Below are 26,563 nucleotides of genomic sequence, written 5' to 3' on the forward strand. Positions count from 1 at the left end.
AGTCCCAATGACCATGCTTCCTGCAAAGCTGAGCAAAGCTGGAGGCTGTTTGAGTTTCTGAAGCGTAGTGACGGTGGAGCTGCCTGGGAGCGAGGGATGGAAAAGGCAGCGCATTCAGTGTTATTTCCATTTGGAGCTGTGCAGCTGCTGATGATGTTCTGTCTTTTGTGTTCAAGAGTTCCTTTGTTCTTAGAGCTTTTTATTGAAGGATAACATACCTATGGGAAAGAACACAGTACATTTTCACAAAGTGGACGTGCCCATGTCACCAGCATCCAGGTCAAGAAACAAAATATTACCAGACTGGGAGTATCCCCAGTCTTCCCTAACATGCTCCCCAGGATAGGGCAACCACTCTCCTGACTGGTGACAACACAGACTAGTTTTGGGATTGTTTGGTTTTTTTTTAAGAGATGAGGTCTCATATGCACACAAGTCTTTATTGCAGCGCTATTCACAATAGCAAAGACATGCAATCAACCTAAATGTCCATCAGTGACAGTCTGGATAAAGAAAATGTGGAACACATACACCATGGAATACTATGCAGCCATGTCTATGAAAAAATAAAGAGATCATGTCTTTTGTGGGAACATGGATGGAGCTGGAGGCCATTATCCTTAATAAACTAACGCAGGAACAGAAAACCAAATACCACGTTTTCACTTATAAGTGAGAGCTAAATGATGAGAACTCATGAACACAAAGAAAGGAACAGACACTGGTGTCTATTTGAGGGGGGAAGGTGGGAGGAGCAGAAAAGGTAACTATTGGGTACTAGGCTTAATACCTGGGTGATGAAATAGTCTGTACAACAAATCCCTGTGACGCAAGTTTACCTGTGTAACAAAGCTTCACACATACCCCCAAACCTAAAATAAATGTTTAAAAAAAGAGAGATGAGGTCTCACTCTGTCACCCAGGCTGGAGTGCGGTGGTACAATCATAGCTCACTGCAGCTTCAAACTCCTGGGCTCAAGTGATCCTCCTGCCTCAGCCTCCTGAGTAACTGGGACTACAGGTGTGCCACCATGCCTGACTAATTTTTAAATTTTTTGTAGAGACGGAGTCTTCTTATGTTGCCCAGGTTGGTCTCAATTTTCTGGCTTCAGGCGATCCTCTCACCTTGGCCTCCCAAAGCACTGGGTTTACAGGCATGAACCACCATACTTTGCCAGAGCCTAGTTTTGTAAGGTACCTTTTAAAAGCAAAAATTACCATGGATGCCCATGAGAGAGTGTCATAGTTTTGGTATCATTGATCACATGGAATAGCAAACCTGTACTGAGCCCTCACTGTGTGCCAGGCCCTCTCCCACACCCTTTACATAATCCGCTCACCTCATCTTCTGAACAATTCTAAGAGGTAGATGCTAATACAATGCCTGTTTTACAAAGAGAAAACAGACATGGCACAGTGAAAAACCTTGCCCAAGGCCAGACCACCAGTAAGTGTAGAGCAAGAATTTGAACCCAGGCAGGGAAGGTCTGCCTTGCCTCTGCGGTCTCTGGATGAAGGTGTGGAGTGCCTCTCATCTGGATGTGGTGAATTGCACATAGATAAAGCAGAATAACCAAGCGTTATTGCAAGTTTGGTATTGGATTGATAACATAGAAATTCATCCAAAGACAAGTTTCTACACCTGCCTGATGCATATACCCGTGGGAAGTGTGTTCATGTCATGTTCTTTCCATTAGCATGGATTTGAGCACCTCTTGGACACACTCTGAGCTCTCCCCTCAGACTGACAATCACGCCTCTGGCCCAGCCCTCTCAGTTACAAATGAGGAAATCAGGTCCCAGAGAGGGAGTACAGGCATTTGGTGAGGATGGGGGCTGGGACTCAGATCCCCCGTGTTGACTTCCCATGCAGTGCTCCCTTCACTCTGCCAGCAAGCCGCCCATTAATCAGCATCTCTGTGCTCATAGTGCATGGAAACTCACCGTTGAGTTGAATATCCTGGAGCCTCTGTTGAGGACACTGGCCTGGAATCCCAAGCTGTCTATCTACTTCCCCAGATCCTCCCACCCACCCCATGATCAGGGTTGAGAAGCCCAGCCAGAGCTCCAGTGCTCATTTTCTCTCTCTCCCAGTGAGTTACTGCTAATAGCAAACATTTTTCCATGCCCAGTGTGAGACCTGCCCCTTTCCTAACCATCTCTGAGACCAGGTAATTCCCTTCTTTCATTTAGGTTCTTACTGAAACACGTCTATAGTTGGTGGCCCCAAGAGCCCGCTGTCTCTCGGCCAGAGCTGTCTTGGTTGTTTGTATGAGACAGAACCAAGTCCCTGTAGTTCATGGTTTCCCTGACCCCTTGGCCGGTGGAGGAGGAGGAGAAATCCATATTGTCTCCTGAAGTTTCTTTTTAGAATTTCCTGTAGCTCAGTGTGTGAGGCTCCCTAGGATTATGTGCCTTCCTTCCCACACCAGCAATGATTGAGCACATACTCTATATAAGGGGCACTGTCTAGAGATAAATAAGGCAGATGCAAATGCTTTGGACAAGACTGTCAAATAATCTTCTAAGGTAGGAACTGGGTCACACATGATTCCAAGGTTAAGACCTCTGCCCTCTGGGGCATGTTCTAACAGTTGCTGAGTGTGTTTGGACTTCTGGTTGCAAGTGACCAAAAAACAAAACAAAACAAAAAAACCCTGGACTGAGCAAAAGATGAGAGGTGATCAGCTCCTGAACTGAGAAGTCCGGGGCCCGCTGTGGGCATGGCGGGATCAGGATCGGCTCATCTCTCTTCCATGCTGGCTTCCTCCCCAGCCAGTCTCCCTCTACAGAGGGGCCTTGAGATGTACAAGCCTGCACTTTACCACTTTGGGGTTTGGCAGGAAGAAAGCCTCACGTGTTCAAAAAGGTCTAGCAAAATTCCTGGGATTGACTCACATTGGACCATTTGTCTGTGGCTGAACCTGGGGCCAGGCACCCAGGCTCTTACCCGAAACGCATCTATAGTTGGTGGCCCCAAGAGCCTGCTGTCTCTCAGCTGGAACTGTCTTGGTTGTTTGTGTGGGACCAGCCCCACCCAAATCATATGGATGAGAACAGGGGAAGGGCAGTTCCCCCCAGGAGAACCAGGGTTTTAGGGTGCCAGACAGGCAAAAACAGTAGGTATTGATGTTAACCCTGTCAACGCCCCGCACTCTGAGTAGCCTACTGGTGTGATCTGGCTCTGATCTGCATTTGGTGGGACGCTTCTGTCCTCCTGGGCACAGGGTGTGTGGCCACAGCCCACAGCCCTCCTGTCCCCTCTAATGTCCTGTCCCCATCTCAGTTCATGGTGTCACCATGCCCTCATCCCCCTCGCTGGAGACCACAGGTTTCTCCCTCCACACCACGCCCATCCTCCATCCTGCGGGTCAGGGGGCCGCAGCATCTCTACATCATCCCCTCCTCTCTGTTTCCATGTTACTTCAACAGCTTCTACCTGAGGCTTCTGTCCTGCTCCTTCCCACCGCCTCACCACCCTGCCTGATGTTTCTAAAGTAAGGGCCAATCAACTACAGCCTGCGGGTCAAATTCAGCTCTCCACCTGTTTGGAATACGTCCTGCAAGCCAAAAATGGTTTCTACGTTTTTCAATGATTGGACAAAGTTAAAAAGGAATACTATTTTATGACACATGAGAATGACAGAGAATTCAGATTTTAGTGAACATAAATAAAGTTTTATTGGAACACAGCCATGCCGATTTGTTTATGTCTCATCTGCGGCTGCTTTCATGCCACAGCGGCAGCGTTGAATAGTTGCGGCAGAGACCATATGGCCCGCAAAGCCTGAAATATTTACTGTCTGTCTGGTTCTTTCCAGGAAGACGTTTGCCAACTGTTGGTTTAAGATACTCTCATCCTGTCGTTGCTTTGCTCAGCGATCTGCTGCTGCTCTCCAATAAGGAGAGTCCTTATCCTGAAACTTGGTGTCCTCTGATCCTTCCAATCCCATGTTCCAGTCTTCCCATTGCGGCCTTCCCACCTCCCAGAACACCTGCCCAGAATTCCCAGTCTCCTGGGCTCCCTCCCGCCCCCCTGCCTTAGCATCCAGTTCATTCCTTTGCCTAGAAAGTGTCTCTCTTTCCACCTGGATGTCTCCCAGGAAATCCTGAGCCCAACTCTCCCATCTCCCAGCTCTTCCCTGAATCATCTTTGCTGAGTTAGAAATTAATTGTTCCCTCTTCTGCGTTCCACTAAAGCTCCATTTAAACCTCTCCCCACGGCATGTGTCTTGTTACAGTCACCATTAGCTGCACATCTGTTTCCCCCTCCTCCGTAGGTTGCAAACGTTGCCTGATTTATCCATATTCCCTTGCAGCCCTCAGCACAAATCCTCCCAGTAGATGCCACACGCTCAGTGCTTGTTGGAAAGATTGAAAGTCAAAATCTGGGCTGGGAGCAGCTTCCTTCCGTTCCGGGGACAGACCTGCTGGTTGTATAGGAACACAGCACTGCAGAACCACAGCTGGTGGAAGACAAATATTAAACTAAGGCAGAACGAACAGGGATTTGCTGTCATCCTGTAGTTTGTGGGTAGAGATAGGCAAAAGATGTGTCATTGTTGGAAGTGGTGTATTTGAATCGACTGAATGAGACTTTAAGGAGAGGTAGGGACAGAGGAGAAGGGGTGAGAATCAGATAATTTTCTTGCATGTTCCCAGCCACCCAGTTTTGATAGAGAGTTCTTTGAGAGAGGAGAACATGTGCTTTGACAGCATATGGACCAGTAGATAAATGGTGTGTGAAGGGAGAGTGTGAATGGCTTCATTACAAGCAGGCAGGCATCAGTGTTCAGTGGGCAAAGACAGCAGCCATCATTTTAACCATAGACTACAGTTTATTACCTGGACACTATTGGCATCGGGGGCTGGATAATTCTTTGTTGTAGGGGGCTGTCCTGTGCTTTGAAGGATGTTTAGCTACATCTCTGGCTCTACCCACTAAATGCCAGTAGCACCCCTCCCCCGGTTGTGACAACCAAAAATGTCACCAGTGTCATAGGTAGGGGTAGGGGGTGAGGGGGACAATCACCCCTGGCTGAGCACTGCTTCCCCACATGAGGGCTTCTCACACTACCTGTGGTGAAAGACTTGTTAACTTTATTTGACCAATATGATTGTCAAATACTAGAAAAAGAAATCCCTAGAAAAAACTGGCATGGTGGCTCACTCCTGTAATCCCAGTATATTGGGAGGCCAAAGTGGGAGGATCCGTTAAGTCCCGGAGTACGAGACCAGCCTGGGTGACACAGTGAGACCCCAGCTCTACAAAAACAAACAAACAAAATTAGCTGGGCATGAAGATGCATGCCTGTAGTCCCAGCTTCTTGGGAGGCTGAGGTGGGAGGATTGCTTGATCCCGGGAGGTTGAGGCTGCAGTGAGCTGTGATCGCACCACCACACTTCAGCTTGGGTGACAGAGCAAGAATCTGTCTCAAAAACAGAAAAAAGGAAAACAATCACGTGGTTGCCACAATCTCAAATTGCTTCACAAGTGTTTGGATGCCCATTCTCACTCTCTGTTCCTGTTCTGTCATGAGTGGGTGATAGAGAGTTCACAGGCCACACTTTATCACAGCCCTAGACCCAGAATCATGTTAGAGAACATTCTCTGTGTGGGTGGAGGTCACCATGTGCTCTGGAATTGTGTCGCTGTGAGGCCCTTGCCACGATGCGTGGTGCATTGTCTTGGTCCAGTGGCCTTTCCCTTGGGTGTGCACCTGCAGATGGGGGGATGGTGTTGGACTCATGGTTGAAAGGCGACGGTTCACCTCGTGCTGGCAGGTGTTTGATGGCCACTCTTTGATGCACCTCCATGGAGGCCTGGCCTTGTTGAGAATTCTCCTGTGGAAGGGCTGGACTTGTTCTTTTCCATTGATCTTCTCATGAGTTGTGTCACTCCCTGATCATTTTCCAAAGCTGGAGGTCAGGCCTCCTGCCAGTGCATTCCTCGGCCAGGCTCTCCTAGGAAACAGGATGGATGATGTTCCGAGGCTTCTCCACGGTGGGTGGTCAGCGTGGGAAGTTTGACCTCTTGCCTTTGGTCCTGGGGCCTTGCCTTTGGTCATGAGCCGGAATAGACTCACAAATGGTGGGAAATGCACCAGGAAGAATGCATGGATTTTATTTTTTATGTTTTTATTTTTATTTATTTATTATTTATTTATTTTCGAGACGGAGTTTCACTCTTGTCACCCAGGCTGGAGTGCAATGGCATGATCTCAGCTCACTGCAACCTCTGCCTCCTGTGTTCAAGTGATTCTCCTGCCTCAGTCTCCAGAGTAGCTGGGATTGTAAGCGCCCACAACCACATCCAGCTAATTTTTGTATTTTTAGTAGAGATGGGGTTTCACCATATTGGCCAGGCTGGTCTCTAACTCCTAACCTCAGGTGATCCACCCACCTTGGCCTCCCAAAGTGCTGGGATTACAGGCATGAACCACTGCGCCCGGCCTCTATGTTTTTATTTTTTTTTTAATTTCCATAGGGTTTTGGGGAACAGGTGGTATTTGGTTATGCAAGTAAGTTCTTTAGTGGTGATTTGTGAGGTTTGGGTGCACCCATCACCCAAGCAGTACACACTGAACCCGATTTGTAACCTTTTATCCCTCACTCCTTTCCCACTTTTTCCCCGAGTCCCCAAAGTCATCCTTATGCCTTTGCAACCTCATAGTTTAACTCCCACTTGTAAGTGAAAACATACGATGTTTGGTTTTCCAATGCATGGGTTTTAAATTCTAAGCTGTAAACTCTGTGGAGATGTAGAGACATCCCCACCACCCATTCCAGGAAAGGAAAGTGTGTGTATTTGTGTGTGTGGTGTGTGTGTGTGTGTGTGTGTGTGTGTGTCGGCCAGTGACTTTTGTGGTGTCAGCGTTTCTAGCCTTCAGCTTAGATGTGAGGCCTAACGTGCCGGGTGAAGAATCCACTATAGGTAAGCAGAGTGAGGGAGAGGCTGGTGGGAAGCAGAGATGCGTTTCTCTGTGTTGGCGATCAGGGTCTTTCCTGCCACGCTCTGTGTGCTCTACCCCAAGGGGACTCGGTGCAAAGGAAATTGAGCTGGTGGCACCAAAGGAAATGGTGATCAGGTGGCTTTGGGTCACTTTATGCTGTCCTCTTCCTGAGGAGGAAACTGAGGCCAGCACTGCCAAAATAACAATGGCAGAACTGAACTTTCCAGACTTTTAATCCAGTGCACATTGTCAGATTCTTTACTGTCTCATTCATTTTGTTGGTGTTTTTGAAGAGAGGTGATGGGTCCAAAGAGATGCCTAAGGAAGGAAAAGGCCACAGGCTGGAGGTTCAGTGAACTCATCTGGCTCAGCTGCTATTTTGTTCTGTGATCCTGATGAAGCTCTGGTTTGTAACAGGCTAAGAACCTCCTCAAACCTCACGGTGCTTTTGTGGAAACTAAGGAACGATGTAATTTTCCACAAGCTCACAAAGGAAAGCCAAGAATAAAATCCAGACCCTGGTGACTCTTTAGTGGAAATGTTTCTGACAGAGCCAAGGATAAGAATAAGCACCAAGCCTAGAAGGAATGAGGCAGACTTTTCTTGTTCTGAGATTTGAGGAAAAAGAGGTCATATGTCCAAGTTACAACTGTCAGTCATTCTACACATATTAAGCACTTATATGTAAGACTTGGAAAAAGAGGTCATATGTCCAAGTTACAACTGTCAGTCATTCTACACATATTAAGCACTTATATGTAAGACCTGGAAATACATTAAGCCTGTCAGTTTCTTCTTTTCTACCTATAGTCTTTCTTCATCCTATTGCTTGAACTATAGTGCTTGGATGGGCTTGTTAGAATTGTAAATATTTACAAGGACCATGTACAGTCATGCACCATATAACAACATTCATTTCAACAACAAACTGCATATTCTACATGGCCCCATAAGATTATACAGATAGGGAGCTGAAGAGTCCCTATCACCTAGTGACGTCTTGCTAGTCCTGACCCTCTGTAGGTCTAGGCTAATGTGTGTGCTCATGTCTTTATTTTTGATTTAAAAATTTAAAAAGTTAAAAACATTTAAAAAAGAAAAATAGCTTATAGAATAAGAACATAAAATATTTTTGCAGGGCTGTAGAATGGTCTTGTGTTTTAAACTAAGTGCTATTAAAAGAGTCAAAAAGCTTAAAAAATTTAAAAGTTTATAAAGAAAAAAGTTACAGTAAGCGAAGGTTATTATTGATGAAGCATATTTTTAAAATTAGTGTAGCCTAAGTGTCCAGTATTGATAGACTTTTGTCTACAGTAGTGAACAGTAACATCCTGGGCCTTCCCATTCACTAACCACGCACTCACTTGCTCACCCAGAGCAACATCCAGTCCTGCAAGCTCCATTTGTGGTAAGTGCCCTAAACAAGTGTACCATTTTTTATCTTTTAAACCATATTTTTTCTGTAGCTTTTCTGTGTTTAGATACACAAATGCTTACCACTGTGTTTCAACTACCTGCGGTATTCAGTACAGTTAAATGCTGCACAGGTGTGTGGCTTTGGAGCAGCAGGCTTTATGGGATAGCTTAGGTGTGTTGTAGGCTAGACCATCTAGGATTGTGTAAGTGTACTCTAGGATGCTCGTGCAGCAGTGAAACTGCCTAACACCACATTTCTCAGAATGTATACCCATCATTAAGTAACACACGACTACAGTTGCTCAACCAGCACCCACTGAGGAACTGTCTGCTGTGTGCAAGCTACTTTACAGAAGGAGAAGCTGTTCCTTCCTTTCCAGGGAGATCACCCTGTGTCCTCCCAAATATAATGAATGGACTCAGGCCCTAGCACTAAATCCTGGCCTGAGACTTCTTGCCTTGAGGCTACTCAGGGAATAGCAGGGATTTGGTCTAGGAAGAGAGGAAGGATTATGCCAAGGAGAAAGACTGCTCAACAGACAGGGAAGCCTGGGAGCAGGGGTGGGAGACAGGGCAGGAGCCAAGAGTGCTGAGGGGGTCCCTGGCTCACGGCTGTGAGGCTCCTCCTTGAACTCTACGTGCTCGTCCTGCTGCCAGGCTGGCCTCCTGGTTCTGCCCATCTTGGGGCAGCTGTGGCTCCTCACTCTTCCCATCCCAACCCCAATTCACCATAGTCCAGTGCACTGGTCAGGGTTCTCCAGAGAAGCAGAGCCCATGGAGGTGCACACATACACAAACATGTCCTGTATCTATCCTATATGTGTGTGTGTTGTGTGTGTTCATAAAGAGATTTATTTTAAAGAATTAATTCATATGATTATAGGGGCTGGCAAGTCCAAAATCTGTATGCCAGGCCAGCAGATTCGAAACTCCCAGGCAAGAGCTAATGCTCTTGAGGACAAATTTCTTCTTCCCCAAGAAACCTCAGTTGTTGTTGTTTTGTTGTTTGTTTTTGTTTTTGATTTGTTTTGTTTTTTGTTTTGTTTTGAGACAGAGTCTCACTCTATCCCCCAGGCTGGAGTGCAGTGGCGTGATCTCGGCTCACTGCAACCTCTGCCTCCTGGGTTCAAGTGATTCTCATGCATCAGCCTCCTGAGTAGCTGGGATTATAGGCACCTGCCACCACGCCTGGCTAATTTTTGTATTTTTAGTAGAGGCAGGGTTTTGCCATGTTGGCCAGACTGGTCTCACACTCCTGACCTCAGGTGATCCACCCACCTTGGCCTCCCAAAGTGCTGGGATTACAGGCATGAGCCACCGCACCCGGCCAATTTTTGTGTTCTTTAGGCCTTCAACTGATTGGGGTGGAGTTGAATTCACACCCACATTATTGAGGGTAATCTTCACTTAAAGTCCATTGATTGTAGATGTTAACCACATCTATAAAATACCTTCACAGCAACCCCTGGATTTATGTTTGATTAAATAACTGAGTATGACTACTACTGCCCAGCCAAGTTGGGCATAGAACTCACCATCACACGTGGCTGGCAACCCGACCTGACCTCAGAGCTAGAGCGTGCCAGAGGTGAAGGGAGGTGTCATTCCAGCCTTCCTCCAGGTCCCTTCCCAGTTAGTGGCAAGCAGCAACCACTCACTCTGGCAAATCATCCACCCTCCTTTGGGTTTGGGTGGAGGTGCTTCTGAATCCAGGCACCATGCTGTAGCAGCTACCTTCCCGCAGATGTTCTCTCATTGAACTTGAGGCTGTCTAGAATGAGGAAGTACCTGGTGTCCATGTTGGCAATGATGGAAGTCTCTCCTGGAATGTTGCCGTGGGCTACTTTGACATCTCCTGGCTAATTGGTGTTCATTTTTATTCCAGGTCCTTGTACTCCTAATGAGGAGAGTGAACATGAAATTTATCATCCAAACTGTGACACTTTTGATAGAAGGGGTTACTATTCATTAGACTGGACAGCAGATGTGAATCAGGACTGTCCTAGAGAAACCAGAGGATATAAAAGATCCAATAATGACAACTGCTCTGTTATTCCTAAGAGTTCATTCATACAGGAGTTGTTTTCATGCTTGTGTTTCATGAATAAAGGGTCAATCAAGTCAACACATAATGAGGGCTGAGTTGTTTTTCCCCAAAAGATATGGTGAAGTCCTAACCTGGTATTTGTAAATGTGACCTTCATTGGAAATAGGGTCTCTGCAGATGTACTTGGTCGAGAAGAGGTTATGCTGGATGAAGGTGAGCTCTAAATTCAGTCACTGGTGTCCTTATAAAAAGTCCACGTGAAGACACAGGGACAAAGAGGGGAAGGCCAGATAAAGACAGGGGCAGACATTGGGGTGATCTGGGCCCACAAACCAAGGAATGCCAGGGACTGCCAGCTGTCACAGACGCCGGGAGGAAGATGTGGAGCTGATTGCCCCTAAGTCTCCAGAAGGAACCAACCCTGTCGACACTTTGATATTGAATTTCCAGCCTACAGAACTGTGATAAAATACATTTCTGGGCTGGGCACGGTGGTTCACACCTGTAATCCTAGCGCTTTGGGAGGCCAAGGCAGGTGGATCATGAGGTCAGGAGCTAGACACTAGCCTGGCCAATATGGTGAAACCCTGTCTCTACTAAAAATACAAAAATTAGCCGGGCACAGTGGCATGTGCCTATAGTCCCAGCTACTCGGCAGGTTGAGGCAGAAGAATTGCTTGAACCTGGGGGCAGAGGTTGCAGTGAGCCAAGATCGTGCCACTGCACTCCAGCCTGGCGACAGAGCGAGACTCTGTCTCAAAAAAAAAAAAATCTGTTGTTTTAAGTATATACTACTTTGTTAAGACAGTCCTAAGAAACTCTATTGTAAAAGCTTCAATATAAGTACCTACTATGTGCCAGGCTTTGATCTGGGTGTTGGAGGTACATCATGATCAACAGCAGTAGCAGCTCATTCTCACAATGTCAAGGTGCGTCCCAGGGACCTTTCACAGGCTACTGGCCATACGGTCTAGTTAGACAATGAAGAATTGTTTCTGCAGTTGTATCAAACAAGTCAAATGTACTTGCAGCTCAAATTAAGTCTAGAGTCCACCTCTACCAGCTGAGAATACCCACGGTGGGCATGGGCATTTTTTCACGGGGGGGGCCTGTCCCTGAGTAAATTGGTTTCTGTTCTTGTCATTGGCAACAGTGAGCTGGGTCAGGTGATACTGTGGTCTTGTTTCCTGGGATGCCGAGTGCCTGTTGTCATGAACCTACCTGAGAATGGGTCCTGGCATCAGAGCCCTCACTGCTCCTCGGGCTTCTGTGGTTGAACTCCAGCCTCTGGAGATGAGCTCACCTTCAAGCAGTGGCAGGAACCAGATCTGGCCTCATCCCAAAATTTCCTCCAGGGGAGGCACGGTGATGGCTGATGTGTGCTGTGTTCAGGTGCATGAACCAAGGGGCTTGTTACTTGTTCATCCTTGCCATGAACAGTACAACAACGAGAAAAACAGTGGGGAGCTCTTAAAGTTTTTCAGTGATAATATGCTTTCCTTTTCCTAGAGTGTGTCAGACATTCAGTAGGTCTCTCTTCAATGAAGTATAACTTGAGTACAATAAAATACACAGCTTTTTAAGTGTAACTACCACTCCAATCAAGATCTAGGGCATTTTCATCACCCTAGAAAGTTCCTTGTGCCCTTTGCCAATTAGTCCCTTCCCTACCCCCAGTGGTTCTGATTTCTGTCACTGACCTTGGTTTTGACTGTGCTTGGGCACCATATAAATGAGATCATACCATTGGTACTCTTCTGTGCTGGATTCTTTCATACACCACGATTTTTTTGTTTTTGTTTTTTTGAGACACAGTTTTACTCTGTCGCCCAGGCTGGAGTGCAGTGGCGTGATATTGGCTCACTGAAACCCCCGCCTCCCAGGTTCAAGTGATTCTCATGCTTTAGCCTCCCAAGTAGCTAGGACTGCAGGCACCCACCATCATGCCCGGCTAATTTTTATATTTTTAGTAGAGACAAGGTTTCACCATGTTGCCCAGGGTGGTCTCGAACTCCTGACCTAGGTGACCTGCCTGCCTCTGCCTCCCAAAGTGGTAGAATTACAGACATGAGCCACTGTGCCAGGCCCATACACCATGTTTTAAAACTTCATTTTTTTAAAAAAAATAAAGCATAGCAAATTGACTAAAACATTTTTACGATAAAGCATTTGGAAAGGGGCCCTGGAAAGGGCAGCCGTTTAGAATTCCTCCACCCGCCATAACCACTATAATGGTTTTGGCATACTTCCATCCAGTTCTTTTCATTTGCTGATTTGCGTGTAGCTGCAAACAAACCACGAGTGATTTCGTGTGTTGCTTTTTTCATTTATGATAAAATTTTTTCCACATCCAGTGTCTTTAACTATCCTTCTGGGTAGTACTCTATCTAAAATGCCCTGTAAGGGCAGGCACTTTTGCCTGTCTTGTTCACAGATGTATTTTCAGAATCTAGAACAGTGCTGGGACCTGATGGGTAACAGTAAATATTTGTGGGAAGACTACAGGAAAGTGTCCAACTCCATAACCATTATCCTATTCCTGGGCCGTCAGTGGCTTCCAGTGCCTCGCTAGTGGAGGTAACAAGCATCTTCACACATATGACTTTCACCCTGATATTTTGAATGTCACCCTTAGAAGAAATTTCACATGAGAAACTGTTATGTCAAAGGGAAGAAACATATTTTTGGCTTTTGTTAGACAGTCAAGTGCTGTTGAGAGCTGGATTATCCAGATTTGAGTTTTGGCTCTGCCACTTACTGGCTGCACCTTGGGCAAATTACTTAACCTTTCTGTGCTCCAGTTTGCCCATGTTTGAAATGGGGCTAATGACAGTGTTTCCTGGGCTCATTGTGACCTTGAAATGTAGAAAGTACTTGACATGTAGTAAGCATTGTATGTGTATTGCTATGTATGTTTCATATGTAGAACATTATATCATGCTAAAAAATGGAAGCTATTTTTCCAAAAAGAAATGGGTTCCCTTAATGATGCCTGTCCTTTTGATAAACTCAGTGGTACTTGTGTTGCCAACTGGTGACTAGCTCAGAGTTTGGTTGTGCAGTACGTAGAAACCTAGGTTCCGAATTTACTTTTATTTTATGTATTCATTTATTGCGACAGGGTCTCACTGTCATCCAGGCTGGAGTGCATTGGTGCCATCACTGCTCACTGCAGCCTTGACTTCCTGGGCTCAAGTGATCCTCCCACCTCAGTGTCCTGAGTTTAGCTCACAGGCATGCACCACCATGCCCAGATAATTTTTGTATTTTTTTAAGAGACAGGCTTTTGCCATGTTGTCCAGTCTGGTCTTGAACTCCTGGACTCAAGCAATCCTCCCACCTCAGCCTCCCAAAGTACTAGGCTTACAGGTGTGAGCTGCCGCACCCAGCCCCTAATTTACTTTATTTAATTTAATTTTATTTCATTTCATTTTTTTTTGAGACAGAGTCTCACTTGCTCTGTTGCCCAGGCTGGAGTGCAGTGGCACGATCTCGGCTCACTGCAATCTCCGCCTCCCGGGTTCAAGCAATTCTCCTGTCTCAGCCTCCTGAGTAGCTGGGATTACAGGCACGCGCGACCATGCCTGGCTAATTTTTGTATTTTTAGTAGAGACGGGGTTTTGCCATGTTGGCCAGGCTGGTCTCAAACTCCTGGACTCAAGCAATCTGCCTGCCTCGGCCTTTCAAAGTGCGGCCTCCTAAAGTGCTGGGATTACAGGTGTGAGCTACCACGCCCAGCCTAATTTACTTTAGATATTAAGTATATGCCTTGTCTAGTAGAGGTAAAGACAGTACAGGAACAAATTTTCACCACAGCACTCTGAGAACACTTAACCTAGTGCAGGAGAAAGAGAGTAGAGACACAACTAAAGATTGCTGCTAGCTGTGGAAATAAACAAAGACCACACAAATGAAAACAACCCAAAATATTTACTCAGAGTTTACTATAGCAAGGGAGTCAGCTGTCATCACTTGCGTTTGGTAAAGACTCAAAGTCAGGCAAGGGAGCCGGGAGGCTTCACAGCAGGGAAGAAAGGGCAGGCTTCAGGTGTGCCCTGGGTGGAGGCTGTTGGCATGAGGCAGCCAACTGGAAGCAGGGCATTGTGTGCATTGGTTTAGGGAATGTTTTGCCTTCCCAGGGCTGCCATAACAAAGTAGAACACACTGGGTGACCTAAAACAACAGAAATTTATTCTCCCACAGTTCAGGAGGCCAAAAGTCTGATATCAAGGTATCAGCAGGATTGATTCCTCCTGGAGTCTCTGAGAAAATCTGTTCCAGGCCTCTCTCCTGGCTGCCAGCACTCCTTGGCTTGCAGACATACCACTCCAACCTCTGCCTTCGTCATCCCATGCCTTGTTCTCGGTATCTCTGTGTGTCTCCTCCTCTTCTTCTAAGACCACCAATCATTGGATTCGGGGTCCCCTGTAATGCAGTGTGACCACATTTCAACTTAACTACCTACCTCTGCAAAGACCTTATGTTAAAGACTGAATTGTGTCTCTCTAAGTTCGTGTGAAGTGATGGTATTTGGAGATAGTGCCTTTAGAGAGGTAATAAGGGTTAAATAAGGTCATAAAAGTAGGGCCCTAATCAAATAGGACTGGAGTCTTAGTCCTTTTAGTGTTGCTATAAAGTAACACCTGAGGCTGCATAATGTATGAAGAAAAAAGGTTTCTTTAGCTAATGATTCTGATGTCTGGGAAAGTTCAAGAGTGGGTATCTGCCTCTGGTGAGGGCTTCAGGCTGTTCTCACTGATGGCAGAAGGTGAAAGGGAGCCAACCTGTGCAGAGATCACATGGTGAGAGAGGAAGCAAAAGAGCGGGAGAAGAGAGATGCTCTGTTTAACAATCAGCTCTGGATGGGCATGGTGGCTGATGTTTATAATCCTAGCACTTTGGAAGGCCAAGGTGGGAGGGTTGCTTGAGGCCAGGAGTTTGAGACCAGCCTGGGCATAATAGTGAGACCCTATCTCTACCAAAAAAAAAAAATACCAAAAATATATATAAGCTGGATGTGGGTATGGTGGCACATGCTTGTAGTTCCAGTTACTCAGGAAGATTAGGCAGGAGGATCGTTTGAGCCTAGGAGGTCAAGGCTGCAGAGAACTATGATTATGTCACTGCACTCCAGCCTGGGCGACAGAGCAAGACTCCGTCTCAAAAAAACAAAAACAAAACCCAGCTCTTGCGGGAACTAATAGAATGAGAAGTCACTCACCACTTGCGCCCAGGGCATTAATCTATTCCTGAGGGACCTGCCCCCATGACCCAAACACCTCCCATTAGGCACTAGCTCCAAGATTGGGGATCACAGTCAACATGAGATCCGGAGGGAACAAACATCAAACTATAGCAATTGATGTCTTATAAGAGGAGGAAGAGACACCAGCAGTGTATGTGCAGAGAAGAGGCTGTGTGAAGACACAGGCAGAAGGTGGCTATCTACAAGCTAGGAAGAGAATCTTCACCAGAAACCAACCCTGCAGGCACTTTGATCTTCCAGCCTCCAGAACTGGGAGAAAGTAAATTTCCATTGTTGATGACATCTAGGCCATGGTATTTTGTTATGACAGCCCCTGCTGACTAATACATCTTATTTCCAAATAAGGTCAATGCTAAGGATTCCAGTGGACATGAGTTATTGGAGGGACACTATTCACCTCACTACAGGGAGCCTATTTGTTTTTCTCTTGTTGTTCTTGAGTTGGAAGCAGGAGAAAACAGTAGAGAAGGTGGCTGTCATTGGCAAAACATGACCATTTTGGGCCAATTGCTGCAGAGGCTGTGGTCTGACATCCCAGGCTAGTTGCTTTGGAGCTGTGGGTCACAGTCCTGTTGTCCTGTATGGACCAGCCATTGTCTGTTCGTATTAATTCGGGCTCTGGCAATTCTGTTGTTAACTAGCTGTGATGCTGAACAAAGCACTTGACCTCTCTGGACTTCAGGGTTCTCCTCTTTAAAATGGAGGGGTTACACCTATATGCAGTGGCTCACACCTGTAATCCCAGCACCTTTGGGAGGCTGAGTCAGGCAGATCACTTGAGCCCAGGAGTTCAAGACCAGCTTGGGAAACATAGTGATACCCAGTCTCTACCAAAAAAATACAATAATTAGCTGGGTATGATAGTGCACACCTGTAGTCCCAGCTGCTTGGGAGGATGTGATGTGGGGGATCACCTGAGCCTGGGAGGTTGAGGCCGCAGTGAGCTGTGATTGCACCACTGCACTCCAGCCTGGGTGACAGAGTGAGACCCTGTTTCAATCAATCAATCAATCAGTCAATCAATCAATCAATATAAATGGAGGGTTAAGTGACTCTCAGTGAGGTGGGACAGGATCTTCAGCATCAGGGCAGGGAGAGAGGTGGGGTTGGCAAGGATGAGGTCATAAATATGGGGCCCTAAATCAAACAGGATTTGTGTCTCAGTCTGTTTAGTGTTACTAAAAAGGAATACCTGAGGCTGGGTAATAAATAAAGAAGGTTTATATGGCTCATGATTCTGATGTCTGGAAAAGTTCAGGAGTAGGTATTTGCATCTGATGAGACCTCAGGCTGCTTTCACTCACGGTGGAAGGTGAAGAGCCAGCGTGTGTGGAGATCACATGGTGAGAGAGGAAGCAAGAGAGACGGGGAGAAGTACCAGGCGCTTTTGAAAACCACCTGAGGAAACATTGCCCTGTGACATTAACAAGTCCACTTCCCTTCCTGGGTGGAGAACAGCTGAACCACATAGTACCTGGGCCCTTGTCCAGCTGTAGAAATTCTATAGTGGTTGCTCCTGGAAAGAACATTCCTGTTGCTGAGTCTTCCAGGCATATTTTCTTTTTCATGGCACTGAATCTCTTTTGGAATGTACTGAAAGAAAGATAGGATTTTAAACTCCTTCTCATGCTAGTTAAGTCAGTGACTTAATCTAATTATTTTTACTCCTGTTTGGGACACAAGGGTGATGGTAGAAAATCCTAGATGTTCCAACTGTTGCCCATGAAAGGCATAAAATTCTTAGCAAAGTTATTTTAAACTGTACAATTGGTGGGGCGGGGGGGAATGACAATTTTCTTCTTTCGGTTTCTGGCACTGGGATGGTTTCTAAAACATATACCTTATATAAGTTGAAACAATAAAAATTTGAGGCTATTTAAATTACTTCCCAGCCTTCCAGTCTGGTTTTCATCGTTTCAGAATAAACGTCAAGGCTTAGAAGGTGGGGTTATTTTTAACAAGGGTAGAAAGCAAAGAGAGAGTGGCATGTTTTGAGGCAGTTTTTCTTTCCTTTAAAAAAATTCAATTCACAGTTTACATTCCCCAAAGAGAATTGACTAATTGAAAGGTTTAAGAACAACGAGCAGCTCACAGAAAGCACATCTCTGTCAAAAATGTTCTGCCTGGTAAGACTTGGTGTGCAGCATCCAAGAAGCAGTTTGGGAAGACAGGGGCTGAGGAGGCAGGGCCAGTGCACCATCTCCTGGGGAGCCATCCAGGCAGAGGTCACACTGGGGGCTCCTGAGTTTGTGTCAGAAGGGAGGAGCCCGAAGTACATTCACTCCATAGGCATTTCATGAACACCTACTTCGTGCCAGGTTTGTGCCAGGACCTGGCAGCACAGGCATGACCAGTGTGGCCAGAGTAGAGTGGGCACCATGGGGAAGGTGGCATGAGTGAGGCTGGAAGGGTTGGCAGGGCCAGACCGTGCAGGGCCTTGAAGGCCAAAATGCAGTCTTTGGCATTTATCCTAAGTGTTTGTTGAAAAGCTTGTCTGGCTGCCCTGTGGAAAACAGGAAGGAGCAGATTGAGAGAGGACCTGGGGACACCAGTTACGGGTCAGTGCAGTGGTCCAGCAAGAGAGGATGGCGGCAGAGGGACTCAAGAGCAGATCAGCAGTAGGATTGCCAGGGCTTGTGCAGGATTGGCTGAAAAGGAGGTGGGTGTATCAGTGAGTGTTCCCTGCAGGAAATAGAATCCATGTTTAATATTTTCAACAGAAAGGAATTTAATTCAGGGAATGAGATGCTTACAAAATTACAGGGAAGGCCGAAGGAGCAGCGCTACGGTCTGCATGTTTGTATGTCCCCAGCATTACATAGAAACCTAATTTCCAAGGTGATGTATTAGGAGGCGGGGCCTTTGGAGGTGACTGGGTCATAGAGGTGGAGTCTTCATGGTTGGGCTTAGCGCCCTTATAAAAGAGACCCCAGAGAGCTACCTGGTCCCTTCCACTGTGTGAGGATGCAGAGATAAGGCACCATGTATGAACCAGGACACTGGCCCTCACCAGACACCGAATCTGCCAGTGCCTTCGTCTTGGACCCTCCGGCCTCCAGAACTGTGAGAAATAAATTTCTGTTGTTTTTAAGCTACCCCAGTTTATGATATTTTGTTATAGCAGCCTGAATGAACTGAGACAAGTGGGAAACGGAATGATCAAGTGTTCAGTAACATCCTGTGCAGGAATAAGGAAGGGGACATGATTGCCAGGAGAGCCTCTTGACGCTTAGGTCTGTGTAACCTTGGTTGCCAGTGGAAATGGCAGCAGGAAGAACACACTGCCTCTTTTCTGCCCTCTGAGTCCCCTAGGTTGGCAGAACCTACTTCACATGCAGAACCCTAGCTGCAAGGGGGCCAAGCTCCTCCAAATGAGAAGTAGGACTGGGCTGTATGACCCTGCAGTGCACAGCCTGCGCACCCATATCTAGGGTCCCTGAGGGGGAGGTTCATGGGAGGAAATAGAGAAGGACATTGAGTGCCTATTGGCCTGTCTACCTGTCACAACATATGAGGAAGGAGGCCGTATCAAGGACAATGTCAGGATTTGTTTTATGCAGACCTGGATGGATGGGAGGCCATGCAATGAGGGCAAGTTGAAGGTGTTTATAGGACGGCTGAGGAATGATGTTCAGTTGTCTGCCGGACATGTTAGGTCTTGAGCTCAGAGAAGATTGAAATTTGGGAGCTGGATGTGGAGATTAAAAAGTCAAAGCCAGGGAATGGTCACATGGGCAGAAGAGGGCCCAGGGTGAAGCCCCTAGACCACCAGCATTCAGTTCAGAGTCCCTTGGGGGGAGGGGACCCCCTAGAGGAGACTGAGTTGAGTAAGGAGATGGGAGGCCAAAGAAGCTAAGCAAGAATGTTTCCAAAAGTGGGATCACCCGACAATATGGACGAATCTTAAACCATTTTGTTAAGTGAAAGAAGCCAGACTAAGAAGGCTACATATTACATGATTCCATTGATATGGTGCTCTGGAAAAGGCAAATATGGGGAAAGGAAACGTCAGTGGTATGGCACACCAGATAGGGATGTGTTTCCACTGGCAGTCGAGGTTATAGAGACCTAAGTGTCGAGAGGCTGTCCTGGCAATCGTGCCCACTTTCTTATTTCTGCACAAGATGTTATTGGATTTGATTATTCCATTTCCCACGTGTCTCGGTGCATTCAGGCTCCTATAACAAACTATGGTAAACTGGGCAGCTTAAACAACCAGGAGTAGGGGTGCAGGGAGGGGTGATTACAAAAAGGCAGCACAAGGGAATTTTAGGGGTGATGGAACTATTCTGTCTGAGGTATGGTGGTAGATACACGACTGTAGGTGTTTCTCAAAACCCATTGAACTTCAAACCACGAAGAATGAGTTTTAGTGTATGTGAGATAGATAAGTATGTGAGATAGATAAGTAGATTGATCTGTTCATTTATATACACATACGTTCATTCATATACAAATAGGAAGCAGTCACTTGTATTAAATGTTTCAAGATCAAGGAATGTAAGTGACAGGTTTTCTCTGGATCCATTTAATAATGGCCTAGACCTCTGTATGGGTGAATTCTGGGTTGCAGGCAGAATTGACCTACAAAATCCAATGTATGTTTCAGAGCGTGGCCTCTTGGCATGGCCCTTAGAGCTTACAAGAACAGAGGGCCTGCTCCTGGATGGAGGAGACCTTAGTCCTGAGATGTGCATCTGCTGGGGGTAACATGCTCCAATAAAGAGAGCCTGGTATTAGTTGGGCTTCCAAGCTGGGTTCTTCTCTTATCTGTGCCAGACTGTGTTTGTGTGACTGTAGGTGACTTTAGTCTCTCAGAGCCTCCACTTCCTCTCAATAAGATGAGAATAATGAGGTTCTCAGAATTGACTGGGAGCAGGCTTCAAGGCTTGATGTGGGCATCACCCTCTCCTGGGGCTGGCTGCATGTTCCCCAACAACTCTCCCAGGTCAGTGACCCCTAACTTATTCTACTCCACACCATCGCAATAAGCTTCTCACTGTCTCTTGGTCGTCTGTTTACTTGTCCTACAGACCAGGCACGTCCGTGACGCTCTGTGCCTAATCCAGTGCCTGGCACATAGTAACTGCTCAAGAAACATGCATCGATTCACATTCTTTCTGGATCAGGGGATTTCCCACCTCAATAACCTTCCACCTTCTGAGTAACTTTGCCTTTCCCCAAAAGTCAAGCCACCCTCTGAGAGGAAGAGCTGCCATATCTGAGGGCGCTCAGGGTCCGTCAGGGTCTCATCCAGCCATTCCTAGACAGTCCAGTGGCTACCAAGTGGGTGCTCTGTACATGCTGTTGAATAAATCCATCCATTTTGAGAAGCAGGAGCAATGTTGGTGAAAGTTTGGATCCCTGAACGGGCAGCACTAATTCAGAGCGTCACCGTGGAGCTTTTTGTGTGTAAAGAAAACAGCTCAGGTGTGCCTGGAGGCCTCCGAATGGCAGATTGTAGGGTGCTGAGGGCACTGGAGGTGCTTCTGTCCCCAAGGATTTTGGAGTTTCCCATCCAATGTTCAGGAAGGCAACTGGCAGGAAGGACCTCCTCCAGCTTCCCTGGGCCCTGCTCACAGTCGAGGATGGGTGCACGGGAGGGAGGCAGATGCCTGGGGTGTGAGGACACCTGGGTGTGTCCAGGACCAAGAGTGATGGAAGCCACTTCTGGGCACCAAGGTCCAAAGGGGAGTGGGGAGCAGCTGGCTTCCCTCCTGTCCCTCCTTTCCCTTCACTCCATGTCCCCAGGGCAGGGGTGGGGGCTGGGATCATCCCTGGTTCCTTGAGCCCAGCTCCACCTGCAGATACATCTCTCCCTTCCCTCCTCCCTCCACCTTCAGATTTCTGCAGCTTAAAGGCTTAAGGATGACCTCAAAAGCCGTGTGTATGTTCCCTGCTGATCCCTCCCTCCTCCCTGGTGGGGATTTGAGCAGACAGAGCAGGCTCAGCCCCCTCAGACACGCAAGCATCCCGCCCTTGAACATGGCCCAGTGGCTCCTGATCCCAGGAAGCCCATGGGAGGAGAAGGAAGGCTTTCTCAGGAACCTGGGATTACACTGCTCCAGGCTTCAGATTCTCATGTAGCCCAAATCATCTCTTACTTTCTCATTGTCTTGCTCTTTCTCTCTTTCTCCAAGAAGGCTTTGTCTTCTCTTTAGCTTTCATACACCAAGGCTGTGTGTTCTGTGGAGTTGTGGGGACAGAATGGATGTCAAGGAATGAGTCTGTAAGTTAATGATGCTGAGTGACTGGCAGCCTGGCTGAGCTCAGTAGTATCACTTCTTACGGCCCAGGTTCTGCTGTGATCTCCATTCGTAGGTGAGGGAACAGGCCCCGAGGTGTCAGGCAGCTTGCCCAGGTCCCACAGGTCATTAGGAGCAGAGGTACTTCCTGAAATCTAAGTCCATCGGCTGCTAGAGACAGTGCACGGAACAGCTGTGTGGGACATCTGCAGTTCCAAGTTGTTGCTGTCAGTGACAAGGGTGGGAGGCCACAGGGTCCTGGTCTATACCCACCCCCTTCACCATGCCAGTGTCTAGAGGATTTTAATCCTGAACTGTGGAGCAGACTGATCCCGGCTATCAGCAGCCAACTGGGAAGGGTGGGGTGGATATCTGCCTGCTCGCAGCCTTTGATGTCCATGCCAGGGCATGCCGCACATAATAAGGATGACTGATTCGTCACCGTAGAAGCCATTCGTTCTCCTCCATAGCCCCCCAGCATGCACACAGGGGTGCAAAGCAAGGCGTGAGGCTGAACAAGTAGAAGTAGCAGCAAATTGCCACTGAGGAGACAGAGGATCAGAGAAGTTTCATGATGTGACCAGGTTCGCACAAGCTCATGCGTAGTCGAGCTAGGACTCCAGTCGACAGTGTGGCGTGATTTCCACTTGGCCAGACCGTCTCAGTGTTAGAGGTGGGGCTTAACCTTGGACGAGGAACATCAGGTCCCACTGTGAGTGCTGGCGTAGATGCCTGGGTGCTCTGAGCTGCTAACTTCCCTCTCGGAGCCTCACCTGAAAACAGGAACGTTGATGGCTCTAGTGCCTGCCTTGTGGGTTCAAGATGTACCAGGAAGGTGTGGATGGGTACGGAGGATGGTGGGGCACAGGCAGCCGGGAACTCTGCCAGTGACCACTGTCTTTGCTGGCAAAATTAAGGCCATAGATGCCATTCATTCTCCTCCACAGCCCTCCAGGATACACATGGGTGTGCAGAGCAAGGTGTGAGGCTGAGTAGAAGTCTGTTCCTACCAAGGGCAAAGCCATTTAGAACCAACGCCCCTTCCCTGCTGGAGGTCAGGTGATATGTCCCCAGCAGCAGAAAGATGACATGACATTGTTCTAATTTTCAAAACTTCTCATTTTTCAAAAATTTTTAAAGATGTTATTCTAATTCCCAGGATTGGATAAATCAGTCAGCTCTCAAAACCCTGGTTTGGAGAATCAGGAAATGTCTCGAATTTTCATGACAGAAATGTCTATTGATCTGCACTGAAATATCCCAGCAGCTGCATTTCTCCTGGAAGTAAGATCTTGGCCTCAACAATGCCGAGTCTCTCCCTATGTAATTCTCCATCTCTGAGCTGACAAACCTTGAAGCCAATCCATGCCCTTGAACCGACAGCAGCAACTCTATTAAAGAAGTTTGATTACAAAAAAAGAGAGAGATGTGAGGGAAGCGAAAGAATCTATTTTTCGTTAAATGCTGCTTGTTTCAAAGTGGGAACATTTTCTGGGTGTCTGGGGAGCTGGTGTTTTCTGTGGCTTGCCGAGAGAATCAGATCTGAAAAATCAGAAAAATTTCCATATAAGGGAGAAAGCATCATTTTCAGAGCTTAGGGCCCAATTATATTTGCAGAGAAGGGATTTCTGTCCTGGAAGTTTATTTAACAAGCATTTATCAAGCACCCACAATGAACTAGGTGTCATTCCCTGTGTTTAAGGGGTTTACAAGGGTAATAAAAGTATTCTAATAAGATGAGACGATACATATTGTTATTTTTGTTAATATTTTAACCTTTGTTTATTCAGTCAATTACTAAGGTTGATTGAGAACCTACTGTGTACCAGGCCTGGCCTAGGTACTGAGGATGCAATGGTGACCAGGGAAGTGTGGATCCTTGCCTTCCAGAAGCTTCCAGTTTAGCTGGTGTGGTGAGGGTGGGTGGAGATCTGAGAGTGCCCTAAACAGGATCTGTGACAATGGAATTCATTCGTGTATACCTCCGTTCATGAGCGTGCTTATCTGCTGATGATTTTGAATGTGGCAGTGGCAGGTGAGAAGGGATTATTCCTCTATTACTGAGCAGATGAGTTGCTCAGAGCTGCCTGGGGTTGCAGGAATGATACTCAAACCCCAAGCATTTGATTTAGATTATTTCCACATCTTGGCTGTTATGAGCAATATGGCTATGAACATTGATGTGTAAGTTTTAGTGTGGACATTTGCTTGCATTTCTCTTGGGTCTATACTTGCGAGTGGAATTGCTGGGTCATATGGTCTATGCTTAATCTTTTGAGGAACTGCCAGACTGCCTCCCAGGGCTGTACCATTTTACATTTCCACCAGCAGTGTTTGAAATTCCAGTACCTCCGTATCCTTGTCAACACTTACTACTATCTGTTCTGGGTTCTAGCCATCCTATTATGTGGGAAGTGTTTCATACTGTTTTTTAAAATGCAAGACATATCTAAAACATCATCACTCTAAGGGGCTGGAATATCTTTGCATAATCCAGTATCCAGCAACTATTTCCTGAGAGCACTGGTCTGCCCCTGGACTGAGAAATGGCTGGCCTTCTCTCTGATCAGTCCAAAGCGAGGTGGGCTCTGCAGTTCCTTAGTGAACTCTCAGAAGTCAAGTGAGGTTTGTCGGGAGGCCCATAGATAACTAACACTCTGCCATCTCTTCCTGTCTTCCAGCGATTCACGAGTTCCCCACAGATCTGTTCTCCAATAAGGAGCGACAGCACGGAGCCGTCCTGCTGCACATCCTTGGTGTAAGTCGTCCTCCCAGAGTGGTCACAAAACTTCTGGCACATGAAGCCTCTCTGCACAGCGGGGCAGAGCCGTGGCGTGTCTGAGATCTTTTATTCTTGTAACAGCCCAGTGAGGAGAGCGGAGACTGGGCATGTTTTACCCACACAGAAAGGATGTCTTAAACGTGTTAGGAGACTTACCCAGTGTCACACAGCTAGTGGCCCCAGGACCAACACAGGAATGCAAGTCTTTCCTGTACCCCATTTTCTGCTTTTGTAAAACAGGGATGATGGTACCTATTACAGAGTGTGAATATGAGTGAATATGGGTCAAGGGCATCAGTGTTGCGTGGCACATGATAACTCCTACAAATGCCTGCTGTCCTGATTCCCATGACTACCCCTAAATTTTAATACCTTTACATCACTATGTAGATGGTCCCCAAGTTAGGATGGTTCCACTTACTATTTTTCAGTGTTATGATGTTACAAAAGTGAGACATATTCAGTATCACTGTTCTGGAAGTATAAAGAAACTATACTGTGAATTTTGAAGTTTTATCTTTTTCTGGGCCAGTGATACTCTCTCCTCATGCTGGGCAGTAGCACCAATTGCAGCTCCCAGTCAGTCACGTGGGCATGAGCATAAACAACCAACCAATACTTCACAGGGTACTGTGTTGCCAGATGAATTTGCCTAGCTGTAGGCTAATTAAGTATTCTGAAGCACGTTTAAGGTAGGCTAGGCTAAGGGATGATGTTCAGTAGTTAATTGGGTTAAATGCATTTTCCACTTAAAGTATTTTATTTATTTATTTATTTTTGAGATGGAGTCTCGCTCTGTCGCCCAGGCTGGAGTACAGTGGCGCGATCTTGGCTCACTGCAACCTCTGCCTCCTGGGTTCAAAAGATTCTCCTGCCTCAGCCTCCCAAGTAGCTGGTATTACAGGCATGTGCTGCCACACCCAGTTAATTTTTGTATTTTTAGTAGAGACGGGGTTTAACCATGTTGGCCAGGCTGGTCTCGAACTCCTGACCTCAGGTGATCCACCTGCCTCGGCCTCCCAAAGTGCTGGGACTACAGGTGTGAGCCACCGTCCCCGGCCCACTTAAAGTATTTTAAACTTAAAATGGGCTTATCAAGCTATAACCTCATTGTAAGTCTAGGAGCATCTGTAGTTTAAAACTTTGTTGTACTTCTCAAACTTCCCTCCCTATTCAGATGGACCTTGATGACAAATGGTGGAAGGGGGGTCAGGTAGTAATTTGAAAAGAAATAAGGGTTCAAACCTAAGTTACAAGTCACTCTCTGTGCTGGAATAGGCAAACTACAACCCTAGCCAAGTCTGGCTCAATGCCTATTTTTGTAAATAAAGTTTTATTGGAACACAGACACTCCTATTCATTTCTGTAATATCTATTTTTTCACTTCAGAGGCAGAGCTGAGTCCATGCATCAGAGACTGCCTGGCCCAGAAAGCCAAACATATTTATTATCTGCCCCTTTACAGAAAAGGTTTGCTGACTCTATTGTGTGGTGTGGAGAAATGTAGCTGGTCAAGGTTTGCTTCTCTGCTTTGGATCAACCACAGCAAATTTTCCTCCTGATCAGCTTCCCTGACCATCCAGCACCATCTGCTTGTATATTTAAGCCCAACCCAGTATTAACTCTTTGCAAGAGATCATTAAGAAAGTGAAATCTGGTATTCCCACATAGGTAGTAACAACCAGAAAATAAAGAATGGGTGAAGTTTTAATTAACAGGGTAAGCCATTAATGAAAATGAAGACTAGAATGAGGGTTGTTGGCACATTTTGAACGACAGACCTGTTTATTATTTCTATAACAGAGTTATTATCTTTCTAGTTTCTCTGGCTTTACACTCCTCCCCTTTCACTAA

General features: G+C 46.6%; 1 protein-coding gene across 8 annotated transcripts in view; it reads left to right on the forward strand.

The window, feature by feature from the left end:
- SLC24A4 (solute carrier family 24 member 4) overlaps positions 1-26,563 on the forward strand; it is a 178,901-nt gene that overhangs the window by 86,723 nt on the left and 65,615 nt on the right. For all 8 annotated transcript variants that reach the window (NM_153648.4, XM_011536436.3, XM_011536437.3 and 5 more), the window contains one exon: positions 24,609-24,685. In NM_153648.4, coding sequence (NP_705934.1) covers positions 24,609-24,685 — 77 coding nt within the window. The remainder of the gene's footprint in view (positions 1-24,608; positions 24,686-26,563) is intronic.

The sequence above is a fragment of the Homo sapiens genome, chromosome 14 (genome assembly GCF_000001405.40).
Source record: "Homo sapiens chromosome 14, GRCh38.p14 Primary Assembly".
In the NCBI taxonomy this organism is placed as follows: Eukaryota; Metazoa; Chordata; class Mammalia; order Primates; family Hominidae; genus Homo; species Homo sapiens.